Source organism: Homo sapiens, chromosome 12, assembly GCF_000001405.40.
Source record: "Homo sapiens chromosome 12, GRCh38.p14 Primary Assembly".
Lineage (NCBI taxonomy): Eukaryota > Metazoa > Chordata > Mammalia > Primates > Hominidae > Homo > Homo sapiens.
This window is the reverse complement of record NC_000012.12, coordinates 97,688,570-97,704,935: the sequence shown is the minus strand read 5'-3', so window position 1 is coordinate 97,704,935 and position 16,366 is coordinate 97,688,570.

The following is a 16,366-nucleotide window of genomic DNA, read 5'->3' as shown; positions in this document are numbered from 1 at the left end:
AATATCACACTCTGGGGACTGTGGTGGGGTGGGGGGAGGGGGTCGGGATAGCACTGGGAGATATACCTAATGCTAGATGACGAGTTAGTGGGTGCAGCGCACCAGCGTGGCAAATGTATACATATGTAACTAACCTGCACAATGTGCACATGTACCCTAAAACTTAAAGTATAATAAAAAATAAATAATAAATAAATAAATAAATAAAGATTAATCCATGCCTTTTCACGGCTTGATGCCACGTTTCTTTCAAGTATTGGATTATATCTCATTGTAAGGATGTACACAGTTTGTTTATCCAATCACTTTTTCATCAAAGAACTTTTTAGTTTTTCCCAGTTTTTGGTAATTATAAATAAAGTTACTATAAACATTTATGTGCTGGTTTGCAGGTTTTTGTATGGACATAATTTTTCAAATCAGTTGGGTAAATACCCAGGAATGCAATTACTGGATGGTATCTCCAGTAACTTTTAATGACTACCAACAAAATCTCATTGAGGGATTAACTGATAGTGTATTGAAATATGAAGCCTTATCTAAGGCTACTTTACTGTGATTTACACAGTAATGTAGTATATTAGTCAGAATTCTTTAGACACAAATAAAATAAATCCAAATTGTAATAGTTTATGCAAAATGAAGAATTTATTGTTTCAGATAATGGAAAAGTTAGAAGAAGCTGGTTATAGGCAGAGGTGGATTCAGGAATCGACAGCTCTTGGCTGTGCTTCTCTTTCTCTTGATTGACTGTTGGCTATATCTCAGTCAAATTCTTCCCCTCCCTCCAACTGGTGGCACTATGACTGCCAGCATTTCCATTTTAATAGCTTCCCAGGGGAAGTAAAGATCCTCTTTTCCCAACAGAAAAGGTTCCAAAATTAAGACTTCATTAAGCAATTTAGATCATATGCCCATCCCTGAATCAACCACTCTAACCAGAATCACTAGCCAGAACTGGGTCACATACATACTCCTACAATTAGGGGTAGAGCCAGTCAGCCCAAACAGCAAAAACAGAAATGTAAAGGGGGTCTTCCAAGGAAAGTATATGGAATTAATGTGAGTGAACCAAATTATAATCGCTCTTCTGGGAAAACAACAACTCAGAATCAAGTCACTTATGTACAAGCTATGTGACCTTGAACGAATGAAATATCTTCTAAGAATTAGGGCTTTGGTGCCAAACAGACTGGCTGAATTTTTTCTCTGTCATTTCTTAGCTGTATGACTTTGAGCAGGATATGTTATCTCTCTATTCTTCAGTTTCTTCCTCTGTAAAATGGCACAACTCATAGAATCTGGGGAAAGACTGAATGGGTTTAAACCATGTATATATAGTCCTAGAAAAATGTTTGCCACATATAATTGTGCTATTCATTAAATGTTGCAATTGGCTAACATTTAAAAATTACTGTGCCTCAGTTTCCCTAAATTTAACATAGGTCTTTACCTTTCTTGACTAATGGACAGAAAGAAAGGGAGAACATACACATGATGGCATGTCGAAAAATGTAAGAAAATCTGCAACTGTTTTGTGGCAATGGCATTGTTATTGCCCTTCCAGGAATCAGATGTCATTTGCTCACAGTACCTCCTTCAACTACAATTTGTCTGCCTAACCCTGTGAAGTAACATTATTGGAATTATACCTTACTTGCCACTTTCCAGCAAGCTTCTCCAGCACAACTTCACTCATGAGTGCTTGGTTTTTGCTCTAAGTAAAAAAGGGAGCCATGAAAGGCGTTTGGTAGATCATATTGCTCCTCTGCTCAATCAAACCTTCTGGAGGCATCCTACCTTACCCAGAATAAATGCGAGGTCCTCACCATGGCCAATGACCCTATGTGATCTGTCCTCCTAATTCCTCTCTTATCTCATTGCCTCACATTCCCCTCCTCTCTTATTGGTTTCACCCATACTGGCCTCCTTGCTTTTTCTAGAATAAGAACATGCAACATATATCACTGCCCAAGAGGATTTGCATGTACTGTTAACTCTTCCTAATCCACCTCCTTACTTCAGTCAAGCATGGCAAATGTCACCTTATATGAAAAGCCTTTTCTAATCTGCATGACAGAATATATACCCCTCCTGATGCTCTGAATCCACAGAGCCTACCCTGCCATAAGTTTTTTATAAGCATGCATCTTTACTTGATATTTTATATATTTATTTAATATGTTTTCATTTGTAATTTGTTTCCCCTAACAACAATAAAAGCTCGTTAGAGGAAGGACTTTTTTGTTGTTTTTGTTCATGGTTTTAGCCCTAGTTCCTGAGGAGTTTCTGGCCTTAGTACTAGAGATTCAATATGTATTTGCAGAATAATAAACAAGGGATGTAAAAGTGCCTAGTATAAACTTTCAAGCCCCCTAATTTTGCTGGCACTTGTGGGTGAAGACACGTTGGAAGGAGAGGAGCCCTAGCCTGGAATTAGAAAAGGCTTCCCTGTACACAGCTCCTGTTTTCCTTCTCAAGAAAAAAGGAAGAGATCTACATCTCTTTATCAAATCTTCCTTTTATTCTCATTCAACCTTAATTTTTAAAAGGAATCTTTCAAAAATTAAGGTGGTCTGTTAAAGAAAAATGTTATTCAGTGATACTTCCTAAATCACTGTAAGGAAGACTTTATTTAGAAACACTGCAGTAGGTATAGGAGCCACTGTGATGGGATCTTGCAGTGGGGGAAAGAGATGGGGTTCAACTCTGAATACAGCACAGGCAAATGAGAATTTATAGCCAAGGAGGCAAGGGGAGTGGTCAAAATTACTAAGAGGGAGATTCAGAGGTAAGGGAAATTCTGGCTAAACTGACCTAACAGGATTCTTGCTGAAGACCGGTCAGGTTGACCACACATCCCATAAGGGACGTTAACGAATGAGGAAACTTAGATAAGGAGGGTGATCAGATGTCAGCGATGGGGGTTTCATGCTAAACTCACTTAGCAGGGCTTTTTGTTACAATGAGATTTTACAAGGAAATGCACAGATGGGCCTAGGAAATGGTTCAGAAGCCTGATTAAAGTTTGGCCAAGCAAATGATCTTTGTCAGATCATTGTGGAAAGAGGCATTATGATGCCAGAGTTTTATATTCGCCATGGTTCTCAGGACTAGAAGCCTTGAATGCTTACATGAGGGAGATGGTAATATATTGCTAAAGAGTTCACTCATTGTTTATCAACAATAGATACTTTCACTTGGGAAGGTAAAATGACCCATGCATTATTTGCCCAGTGTGGTTTTATAGCTTGAAACACCCAGAACACAACTGCATTCTTCTCTCCCCTCAGACATCCCTCCAACCTGAGTCTTGTTTTAGCTGGTGTGCTATCGTAGCTGGAAAAGGCAATGTAATGCGATTTCTTGTCCATTTCACTGATTACAACTATTTAGTATATTCTCAAAGAAAGATGATTACAACGTGCTGGTTCTTAATGCTTAATTTATTTACATGCATGCCTGCTACAGAGTTATTTTATTCATCTCCCAAATGATGGCATAAAATCATTGAGAAATGATGGGCAATAAACATGGCTATTCTGCCGCAGTCCTCAGTGGATAACACCCACCATCACTCCTAACATTGGTTGACCCATGTTCCATTGCTGTTAAAATCCAGCCATAATGAAATCAGTGCAGGCATGAAATTCTTTTATTGCTACTTTGTTCTGACAAAACTTGCACAACAACAGATTTTTTTGGTTAAAATAAAATCCATACCAAATTGGTATTTTTGTGTTAGTAACTGAAGCAAAACCACATATATTTCTCCTTTTTCTTTCATTCCTTTCTTTTTATTTTGCTTTTTTTTTTAAGAAAAAAAATGTCATATTAGCTGGAAGAAAGGGTGAATTTTTGGAACCATGACTGCATTCTAATTGTCTCTTCTGTTGTTGCCTGGGCAAGGCTATTCACATTAAGCTGAACAAATGCCACATATGCATTTCTGCTAAGTGCTAGCATTTTCTGTATTTTTTTTTTTTTGGCAATTCTCATTTCAGTAAGAACACTTGAAAAGTTACCTAAATTAGTCTACCAGGGTTGCTCAGCTTCTCATCCAAACTGGGAAGAAAAAAAAAATGGGACTTTTCGCCAAATTGCTGAAAGTCTTGACTCAGCAGAAAGACCTTGCCCTTTTTATTTGGGGATTAGAATCAGAATGAGACAATAAAGTTAAAATGAGCAGAATGAGTGTTTCCTTTTTTTTTTTTTTCTTTTTTCCCTAACAAAACAGCAGAGGCGAGTTGGTGCCAGCACGCAGGGGGTATTACCCTGCATCTCAGAAGACAAGATGCATTAATGAGGATATTCTCTCTACTACTTCTTATCTAAACAGCATCCAACAACTTTCTATTCTCTTCCTTAAAAAACAAAAATGCAGGGTCTATTTTTTTTTTTTTAGTCAAAACAAAATCCACAATCATGCTGTCTCTTTCAAAATCACATTATTATGTTATTATAAATAAGGACTAGACATTTCCCTTCAAGGAGGTTGCTGAAGGACTGCCACGAAAGTACTGCTTGTACTGTGATTATTGGAACTTCTAATGATGTTTGGTTCTCAAAAGACGGCAGAAAGGAAAACTCAAAAGGTAACCGAGCATTCTATCCCCAACCTCATGACCTCCTTACAGAACACAATTAACATTGTTAGATTTTCAAACTTATTTCTATTAAGAGCTAATGTAAAATGACTTTTGAAAATTAGAGAGCAAACAGAGAGGCATGAAGGGGTTCTTATTTCATCAGAAAAACACATTTCATTTCTTTCCCTTTTAAGTTTTTAAAGGATTCAAACTCACTGTAAGGCAGTTTTGGTTTTACTAAAATATAGGAAGAGATCTTGCTTCCTAGAAGAGCAGCCTCACCTGTATCATTATTGTGAATGTCTCAAATACCTACAGAAACATACCAAAAGCCTTCCCAGGGTTTTGTCTAAAAGTCTGACCCAAATGAAGGGCGTGGTTGTCTTTGGAAGATTACGAAATAATAAGGACTGTAGGTAGTTAATCTAAGACAGAATGCTTCAACCAAGGAAAGTGTTTTTTTTTTTGTTTTTTTGTTTTTTTTAAAAAAAAAAGGAAAGAAAATATGGATATTACAGATTCCCCTACAGAGAGAAAAATGCTTCTGAAAGAGAGAGGAATAAAGGGCAGAATAGGTATATATTAGTTATCAAGTTCATGCTTTGCATCCCCTCTGCATCATTTGCCTGACACTTCCTCATGATCCATCCTTAACCCCTCGTTCCTCTTTCAGTGGGGCAAGGAATGCTCCAAAACAATCATTCACACCTGGCAAAAGAAATGGTCAATTCCTGCACAATTCCCAGGCTCAGATACGACAGGCCCACCCACCACTGTGTGTATACTACTTAGGGTGTGGCTGTAAATCAGAATTAACCGCTGCATTGGATTGAGTGGTGGCCCATAAAAAGATAGATCCATATCCTAATTTCTGGAACCTGTGAATGTTACCTTATTTGGAAAAAAAGTCTCTGTAGATGTAATTAAGTTAAGGTCTTAAAGATTCGATCATGCTGGATTCTCCAAGTTAGCCCTAAATCCAAAGCCCAGTATCCTGCTAAGAGACATAGAGGAGAACAGATGCACAGGAGACAGAGATGTGAACAGGAGGCAGAGATTGGAGTCATGTGGCCACAAGCCAAGGAATAACAAGAAATGTGACAGGCACCAGAATATAGAAGAGGCAAGGATGGATTCTCCCCTAGAGCCTCCAAAGGGAACACAGCACTGTCAACAAGTTAATTTCAGATTCCTGACCTCCAGAATGGTGAGAGAATATATTTCTGTTGTTTCAAGACACCTAGTTTGTGATAATTTGTTGAGGCAGCCCTAGCAAACCAATACACCTGGGAAGACTGTAAAGATGCCATGTCAAGGTCGCACTCTGAAACAATTAAATAAGGCTTTCTGCAGATAGGATCTGGACATCAGTAATTATGAAAGCTCTCTGAGGTGATTCCAATGTACAGGAAGGCTAGGAACCACTGATTTGGGGCTTAGGCTATTGCCTCTGTTTATTAAAATTTCTTCCATCTAGACCTCGAGGAAGTCCTATTTTGAGAATTTTTTGGCTTTATTGCTGTCAGTTTGATTTTTCTGATAGAAGAATGGCTAGATCTTTGGACTTGCCCATAATAGTTCACTTAATATAATTATGCTGTAGCAATAATAACAATAAGAACTACTATTCACTGGGTGCCTACTAGGTTCAGGTACTGGGTATAAAGTGATAAACTGGTCCCTGTTGGGCCGGGTGCAGTGGCTCACACCTGTAATCCCAGCACTTTGGGAGGCTGAGGTGGGTGGATCACAAGGTCAGGAGATCGAGACAATTTTGGCCAACATGGTGAAACCCCGTCTCTACTAAAATACAAAAAATTAGCCAGGCATGGTGGTGCGTGCCTGTAATCCCAGCTACTTGGGAGGCTGAGGCAGGAGAATCATTTGATCCCACGAGGCGGAGGTTGCGGTGAGCTGAGATCACGCCACTGCACTCCAGCCTGGTGACAGAGCAAGACTCTGTCTCAAAAGAAAAAAAAAAAAAATTGGTCCCTGACCAGGGAACTTTACAGTCTAGGGAGAGATAAAAATGCATAAATAGGCAATTGCAATACAGAGTGATGAGCCAATAGTGGAGAATGTATAATGCACGTTAAAAGTTCATGGGGAGAGGGTACGTAACCTAGAGTTGGCATAAAGGAAAATTTCTGGAGAAAGTGGCATCTAAGCTAGGGCAAGGAAAAAAAACCAGCTAAAAATGGGTTTGCCATGTGAAAGGCAGATGGAAGGTGTCCCAGGCAAAGAGAATAAACAGCATGGATGAAGGTGTACAGCAGGGGTAAGCAAACTAAGGCCCAGCCCAATCTGCATTCCCACCAATTGGCCCCAATCTCCCATGTGTTAGTTGAATTGTCACGCAGCCACACCCATTCATGTATGTGTTGTCTACAGCTGCACTGGCACCACAATGGCAGAGGGGAACAGTTTCAATAGAGACTATTTGGCCTGCAAAGCCTAAACAAAATTCCTGTCATTTGGCCATTTACAGGAAAATTGTGTTGTCCCCTGCTTTATAATCAAGCAAAAGAGCTCACTATACTGAGAGAGATGCAACAGGGCTAGAGTTAGAGTGTGAATGAGAGAGTGGTATGGGTAGAAGCTCAAGGAAGAGTTGAGACAGAGAATCTGCAGAGCCTACAAGCCAGAATGCAAGGCTGGACTTTATATTAGTCAGAGTTCTCCAGAGAAAAAGAAATTGTAAATGTATTGTAAGGAGAATAGTAACATAATTATGGAGCCTAAGTCATGACATCTGCAGTCAGCAAGCTGTAGACTCTGAGAGCAATGGTATCATTTCAGTCCAAGTCCAAAGGCCTGAGAAGCAGAAGAGCTAAGGGTGCAAGCCTCAGTCCGAGTCTGGGTCTGAGGGCAGTATAAGACTGATTTCCAGTTGCTAACAGGGGAGGAGGTTCCAAGATGGCTGAACAGGAACAGCTCCAGTCTGCAGTTCCCAGTGTGAGCGACGCAGAAGATGGGTGATTTCTGCATTTCCAACTCAGGTACCAGTTTCATCTCACTGGGGCTTATCAGACAGTGGGTGCAGCCCACGGAGCAGGGCAGGGCATCGCCTCACCAGGGAAGCACAAGGGGTTGGGGAATTCCCTTTCCCAGCAAAGGGAAGCCGTGACAGACAGTACCTGGAAAATTGGATAACACTCACCCTAATACTCCACTTTTCCAATGGTCTTAGCAAATGGCACACTAGGAGATTATATCCCATGCCTGGCTCGGAGGGTCTCACGCCCATGGAGCCTCGCTCACTGCTAACACAGCAGTCTGAGATCGAACTGCAAGGCAGGCAGCAGGGAGGCTGAGGGAGGAGCGTCTGCCATTGCTGAGGCTTGAGTAGGTAAACAAAGCAACTGGGAATCTCGAACTGGGTGGAGCCCACCGCAGCTCAAGGAGGCCTGCCTGCCTCCATAGACTCCACCTCTGGGGGCAGGGCATAGCTGAAAAAAAGGCAGCAGAAATTCTGCAGACTTAAATGTCCTTGTCTGACAGCTTTGAAGAGAGTAGTGGTTCTCCCAGCACAGAGTTTGAGATCTGAGAACAGACAGACTGCCTCCTCAAGAGGATCCCTGACCCCCAAGTAGCCTAACTGGGAGACACCTCCCAGGAGGGGCTGAGTGACACTTCATACAGCCGGGTACCCCTCTGAGATGAAGCTTCCAGAGGAAGGATAAGGCAGCAAATATTGCCGTTCTGCAATCTTTGCTGTTCTGCAGCCTCTGCTGGTGATACCCAGGCAAACAGGGTCTGGAGTGGACTTCCAGCAATCTCCAACAGACCTGCACTGGAGGGTCCTGACTGATAGGAGGAAAACTAACAAACAAAAAGGACATCCACACCAAAACCCCATCTGTACGTCACCATCATCAAAGACCAAAGGTAGATGACAAAACCACAAAGATGGGGAGAAACCAGAATAGAAAAGCTGAAAATTCTAAAAATCAGAGTGCCTCTTCTCCACCAAAGGAACACAGCTCCTCGCCAGCAATGGAACAAAGCGGGATGAAGAATAACTTTGACGAGTTGAGAGAAAAAGGCTTCAGATGATCGGTAATAACAAACTTCTCCAAGCTAAAAGAGTATGTTTGAACCCATTGCAAAGAAGCTAAAAACCTTGAAAAAAGATTAGATGAATGTCTAACTAGAATAAACAGTGTAGAGAAGTCCTTAAATGACCTGATGGAGCTGAAAACCATGGCACGAGAACTACGTGATGCATGCACAAGCTTCAGTAGCCAATTTGATCAAGTGGAAGAAAGGGTATCAGTGATTGAAGATCAAATGAATGGAATGAAGCCAGAAGAGAAGTTTAGAGAAAAAAGAGTATAAAGAAATGAACAAAGCCTCCAAGAAATATGGGACTATGTGAAAAGACCAAATCTACATCTGATTGGTGTACCTGAAAGTGATGGAGAGAAAGGAACCAAGTTGGAAAACACTCTTCAGGATATTATCCAGGAGAACTTCCCCAACTGAGTGAGGCAGGCCAACATTCAAATTCAGGAAATACAAAGAATGCCACAAAGATAATCCTCGAGAAGAGCAACTCCAAGACACATAATTGTCAGATTCACCAAAGTTGAAATGAAGGAAAAAATGTTAAGGGCAGCCAGAGAGACAGGTAGGGTTACCCACAAGGGGAAACCCATCAGACTAACAGCAGATCTATCTGCAGAAACCCTACAAACCAGAAGAGAGTGAGGGCCAATATTCAACGTTCTTAAAGAAAAGAATTTTCAACCCAGAATTTCATATCCAGCCAAACTAAGCTTCATAAGTGGAGGAGAAATAAAATCCTTTACAGACAAGCAAATGCTGAGAGACTTTATAACCACCAGGCCTGTCATACAGGAGCTCCTGAAGGAAGCACTAAACATGGAAAGGAACAGCCAGTACCAGCCACTGCAAAAACATGCCAAATTGTAAAGATCATCAATGCTAGGAAGAAATTGCATCAACTAACGAGCAAAATAGCCAGTGAACATCATAATGACAGGATCAACTTCACACATAACAATATTAATCTTAAATGTAAGTGGGCTAAATGCCCCAATTCAAAGACACATGCTGGCAAATTGGATAAGGAGTCAAAACCCATCAGTGTGCTGTATTCAGGAGACCCACCACTCGTGCAAAGACACACATAGGCTCAAACTAAAGGGATGGAGGAAGATCTACCAAGCAAATGGAAAGCAAAAAAAAAAAAAAAAAAAAAAGCAGGGGTTGCAATCCTAGTTTCTGATAAAACAGACTTTAAACCAACAAAGATCGAAAGAGACAAAGAAGACCATTACATAATGGTAAAGGGATAATTCAACAAGAAGAGCTAACTATCCTAAATATATATGCACCCAATACAGGAGCACCCAGATTCATAAAGCAAGTCCTTAGAGACCTATAAAGAGACCCAGACTCCCACACAATAATAATGGGAGACTTTAGCACCCCACTGTCAACATTAGACAGATCAATGAGACAGAAAGTTAAAAAGGATATCCAAGAATTGAACTCAGCTCTGCACCAAATGGACCTAATAGACATCTACAAAACTCTGCACCCCAAATCAACAGAATATACATTCTTCTCAGCACCACATCATACTTATTCTAAAATTGACCACATAGTTGGAAGTAAAGCACTCCTCAGCAAATAAAAAAGAATAGTAATTATAACAAACTGTCTCTCAGACCACAGTGCAAACAAACCAGAACTCAGGATTAAGAAACTCACTCAAAACTGCTCAACTACATGGAAACTGAACAACCTGCTCCTGAATGACTACCGGGTACATAACGAAATGAAGGCAGAAATAAAGATGTTCTTTGAAACCAATGAGAACAAAGACACAACATACCAGAATCTCTGGGACACATTTAAAGCAGTGTGTAGAGGGAAATTTACAGCCTAAATGCCCACAAAAGAAAGCAAGAAAGATCTAAAATTGATGCCCTAACATCACAATTAAAAGAACTAGAGAAGCAAGAGCAAACAAATTCAAAAGCTAGCAGAAGGCAAGAAAGAACTAAGATTGGAGCAGAACTGAAAGAGATAGAGACACAAAATACCTTCAAAAAATCTATGAATCCAGGAGCTCGTTTTTTGAAAAGACAACAAAATTGATGGACTGCTAGCAAGATTAATAAAGAAGAAAAGAGAGATGCAATAAAAAATGATAAAGGGGATATCAGCACCAATCCCACAGAAATACAAACTACCATCAGAGAATAATATGAACACCTCTACCAAAATAAGCTAGAAAATCTAGAAGAAATGGATAAATTCCTGGACACATACAGACTCCCAAGACTAAACCAGGAAGAATTTGAATCCCTGAATAGAACAATAACAGGTTCTGAAATTGAGGCAATAATTAATAGCCTACCAAGGAAAAAAGTCCAGGACCAGACAGATTCACAGCCGAATTCTACCAGAGGTACAAAGAGGAGCTGGTACCATTCCTTCTGAAACTATGCCAATCAATAGAAAAAGAGGGAATCCTCCCTCATTCATTTTATGAGGCCAACATCATCCTGATACCAAAGCCTGGCAGAGACGCAACAAAAAAAAGAGAATTTTAGACCAAATATCCCTGATGAACATTGATGCAAAAATCGTCAAAAAAATACTGGCAAACTGACTCCAGCAGCACATCAAAAACTTATCCACCACGATCGAGTCGGCTTCATCCCTGGGATGCAAGGCTGGTTCAACACATGCAAATCAATAAACCTAATCCACCATATAAACAGAACCAAAGACAAAAACCACATGATTATCTCAATAGATGCAGAAAAGGCCTTCGACAAAATTCAACAGCCCTTCATGCTAAAAACTCTCAACAAACTAGGTATTGATAGGACATATCTCAAAATAATAAGAGCTATTTATGACAAACCCACAGCCAATATCATACTGAATGGGCAAAAACTGGAAGCATTCCCTTTGAAAACTGGCACAAGACAGGGATGCCCTCTCTCACCACTCCTATTCAACATAGTGTTGGAAGTTCTGGCCAGGGCAATTAGGCAGGAGAAAGAAATAAAGGGTATGCAATTAGGAAAAGAGGAAGTCAAATTGTCCCTTTTTGCGGATGACATGATTGTATATTTAGAAAACCGCACTGTCTCAGCCCAAAATCTCCTTAAGCTGATAAGCAACTTCAGCAAAGTCTCAGGAACAAAATTAATGTGCAAAAATCACAAGCATCCTACACACCAATCACAGACAAACAGAGAACCAAATCATGAGTAAACTCCCATTCGCAATTACTTCAAAGGGAATAAAATACCTAGGAATCCAACTTACAAGGGATGTGAACGACCTATTCAAGGAGAACTGCAAAGCACTGCTCAATGAAATAAAAGAGGACACAGACAAATGGAAGAACATTCCATACTCACGGATAGAAAGAATCAATATCATGAAAATGGCCATACTGCCCAAGGTAATTTATATATTCAATGCCATCCCCATCAAGCTACCAATGACTTTCTTCACAGAATTGGAAAAAACTACTTTAAAGTTCATATGGAACCAAAAAAGAGCCCGTATCGCCAAGTCAATCCTAAGCCAAAAGAACAAAGCTGGAGGCATCACGCTACCTGACTTCAAACTATACTACAAGGCTACCATAACCAAAACAGCATGGTATTGGTACCAAAACAGAGATATAGACCAGTGGAACAGAATAGAGCCCTCAGAAATAATACCACACATCTACAACCATCTGATCTTTAACAAACCTGACAAAACAAGAAATGGGGAAGAGATTCTCTATTTAATAAATGGTGCTGGGAAAACTGGCTAGCCATATGTAGAAAGCTGAAACTGCATCCCTTCCTTACACCTTATACAAAAATTAATTCAAGATTGATTAAAGACTTAAATGTTAGACCTAAAACCATAAAAACCCTAGAAGAAAACCTAGGCAATACCATTCAGGACATAGGCATGGGCAAGGACTTCATGACTAAAACACCAAAAACAATGGCAACAAAAGCCAAAATTGACAAATGGGATCTAATTAAACTAAGGAGCTTCTGCACAGCAAAAGAAACTACCATCAGAGTGAACAGACAACCTACAGAATGGGAGAAAATTTTTACAATGTACCCATCTGACAAAGGGCTAATATCCAGAATCTACAAAGAACTTAAACAAATTTACAAGAAAAAATCAAACAACCCCACCAAAAAGTGGCCAAAGGATATGAACAGACACTTCTCAAAAGAAGACATGTATGCAGCCAACAGACACATGAAACAATGCTCATCATCACTGGCCATCAGAGAAATGCAAATCAAAACCACAATGAGATACCATCTCACACCAGTTAGAATGGCGATCATTCAAAAGTCAGGAAGCAACAGGTGCTGGAGAGGATGTAGAGTAATAGGAATGCTTTTACACTGTTGGTGGGACTGTAAACTAGTTCAACCATTGTGGAAGACAGTGTGGCCATTCCTGAAGGATCTAGAACTAGAAATACCATTTGACCTAGCCATCCCATTACTGAGCATATACCCAAAAGATTATAAATCATGCTGCTATAAAGACACATGCACACGTATGTTTATTGTGGCACCATTCACAATAGCAAAGACTTGGAACCAACCCAAATGTCCATCAATGATAGACTAGATTAAGGAAATGTGGTACGTATACACCATGGAATACTATGCAGCCATAAAAAGGATGAGTTCATGTCCTTTGTTGGGACATGGATGAAGGTAGAAACCATCATTCTGAGCAAACTATCACAGGGACAGAAAACCAAACACTGCATGTTCTCACTCATAGGTGGGAGTTGAACAATGAGAACACTTGGACACAGGGAGGAGAACATCACACACCAGGGCCTGTTGTGGGGTGGGGGTAGGGGGGAGGGATAGCATTAGGAGATATACCTAATGTAAGTGACAAGTTAATAGGTGCAGCACACCAACATGGCACATGTATACATATGTAACAAACCTGCATGTTGTGCATATGTACCGTAGAACTTAAAGAATAAAAAAAAAAAAAAAAGACTGATTTCCCAGCCCAAAGATAGGCAGAGAGAGTGAATTCTCCTTTATTCAGCCTTTTTGTTCTATTCAGGCCTTCAATGAGCCTAATGAGGCCCACCCACACTGGGGAGGGTAATCTTCTTTACTCAATCGACCGGTTCAACTGTTAACCTCATCTAGAATCACCCTCACAGAAACACCCCAAAAAATATTTAGTCAAATATCTGGGCACTCCATGGCCCAGTCAAGTTGATACATAAAACTAACCATCAGAGCCTTTATGTAAAAAGCAATAGTAAGCTACTGAAAGGTTCTAAGGAAGGCAGGGACTTGATCAGAACTGCATCTTGGAAAGAACACTCCGGCTGCAGTGTGTGTCATACAGCCGATAATAGAAAAGATTCAAATTCAGACTGCTCTGGTGCTAAAGCCCAGGCTGTCTCCATTGGTCCGGGCAGATGCCTGCAGACGAAGCACTATGCTTCGAAGAATTCTTCATCTGAAAGCAGCCTGGTGAAGCAAGACAGCACAGGGCCTGATTGAAAACTGAGCCCTGTTTCTCCAGTCTGACATTCAGGCCCAGTATAAAGAAGTTGAGGAATCAGGTAAGGGTCCTTAGAAAAGAAGCAAAGGTCTAGAGATCATCAAGGAGGCAAGGGAAGGCTGGAAGGCATGATTTGTATTTGTCGCCAGCTGTAGGGCTCATTTGCTTTCAGTGGGAAGTAGAAATGATTACAGACAGGGGATGAGCCCCTTGGCCTTGTTGCAAATATGGGTTGAGGAGAGAATGTAGGGAAATGAAGAGGGAAGTGCTGAAGTGGTTGGTGGTATTGACCACAGTGAGTCCTTATTGAGAGTCCACCAAGTGGAGGGATTTCTTCAAGGCATTATCAAAGAATTCCAGCTCAGTGACCTACCCTACCCCTATTCTAATAGTTTGAGTGTTGTGGATATTCAGAAAGTCAGTGTATCTTCTGCAACCCTCCCTCTCTGCCCCTTTTCCTCTCTCCCTGCCTGCTTTCTTTCTCTCTCTTTCTTGCTTGTTTGCCCTTTCTTTCTTTCCTTCTTTCTTTCTTTCCCTCCCTCCCTCTCTCTCTTTCTCTCTTTCTCTCTCTTTCTTTCTTTTTCCTTTCTTTCTTCTTTCTACTTTCTTTTCTTTCTTTTTTGAAAAGTGTTGACATTTCTTCATCTATTTAAATTGGATTTCAACCAATTGGAGATTTGTGAGTAAATTGAGTCACACAGTAAAATAAAGCACTCAAGACTTTCTTGAAGTTGAAGTAGCAATTTCATCTTTTTTTTTCCATCAGAGGCAGTCTTCTGTAAGCCTTTTTGATGAGTTTTGTGAAAACAAAATCCATGTGGACTGGAATTTCTCAAACTTAGTTTCAGGTTAAAATTAAAGATAAACATTTACTGAGAGTTGATGTCTTGCAAAAAAAATAAGTTTTTAAAAACGTAATTTTTTCAAAGTCTTGAAGAACTTGAGAAAAATGGACATTCTTTCGGAAATTCAAACTTTCATGTGTAATCCTCCTCAAGCTCCATTGATGTGACATACCTGAAAAAATCTAGCTTAGAAGTAAAATTTAAGCAATCACAATCGTTAACCTTCTCAACATTGGCAGATCAGGTTAGGAAATTCTATGGCTGCTGTCATATGTGATGGTTAAGGTGTCCAGATGGGACAACAGTTAATGGTCATATCTGTCTCTGACCCATCACTTCAATGAAGAGGAGCAAGGGTCATTGTTTTACAGCTCTGCAGACACACTCCACTGAGTTTAAGCCCACCATGTCAATTGTATTTTTAAAAAAGTTATACCTTATTTTATTTGATCTACTCATCAATGAAAGCATACTAAAGAACTGAAAATTGGAATACATCTATTTGTGATAGAAAAGACTTTGCGGGATGGAGAAGCTAGAATCATGTACGATTATTGAAAGGGAGATCAATATATACGGAGAGACCTAGGTGATATAGGTGGAGCAAAATGATTTGGAAATCCCTCTTCTAGTTGCCAAAGGGCAAAAGTGATATGCTTGCTTCCTTGCTCATATCCCTGGAGTTGATGGCCACTGAAAAATAAATAAAATCTTTAAAAATTTGAAAATTTTGGTGGCCAACCAATTAATAGGAAAAAGTGTTTTTTTCACTTTTCTGACATGAAAAGTTATAATGGTCTACACTGAAATGTTAACAGAAAATGGTGTACATATTGTTTGAGGTCAGCCATGAACTATAAAAGCAAGATGACTTTTTACCATAGTCCTTTTGTTACTGGTACAAACTCATAAAGGGCTAATGTTATTCTAAATCACTGCACCATACAACCACAAGAGTTGCAAAAATACAAGACCGAAGTATAAGAACCAAGTTCCTTAAGTTACAATAAAATATTTTACAAACTGATCTGAAGCAGAAAATAGGAGAAGAAAAGGAATATTTCCTTTGGACTTTGCTAGATAGAAAAACCATTTTCCCATTCTTGGTTTCCATGAGGAGGGGAATTCTTCCCTGGATTCTTCACCTTGAATATTGGAGAAGAATCATCACTGGGTGTGTGCATGCTGGCTCACTCTTTTTCCTCTTGAGAGGAGCTTCCAGCAAGGAACATACTTCGCTTAACTTTTCTGTTGTTCCTGCAGGGATGGAGATGGAGGAGACCTGCTGGCCCCAGCACTGGTGTGACCCAGCAGATAGGTCTACCTAATTCTGGAATTCAATAATCGTTCAGTCCACTTAACTTCCGGACT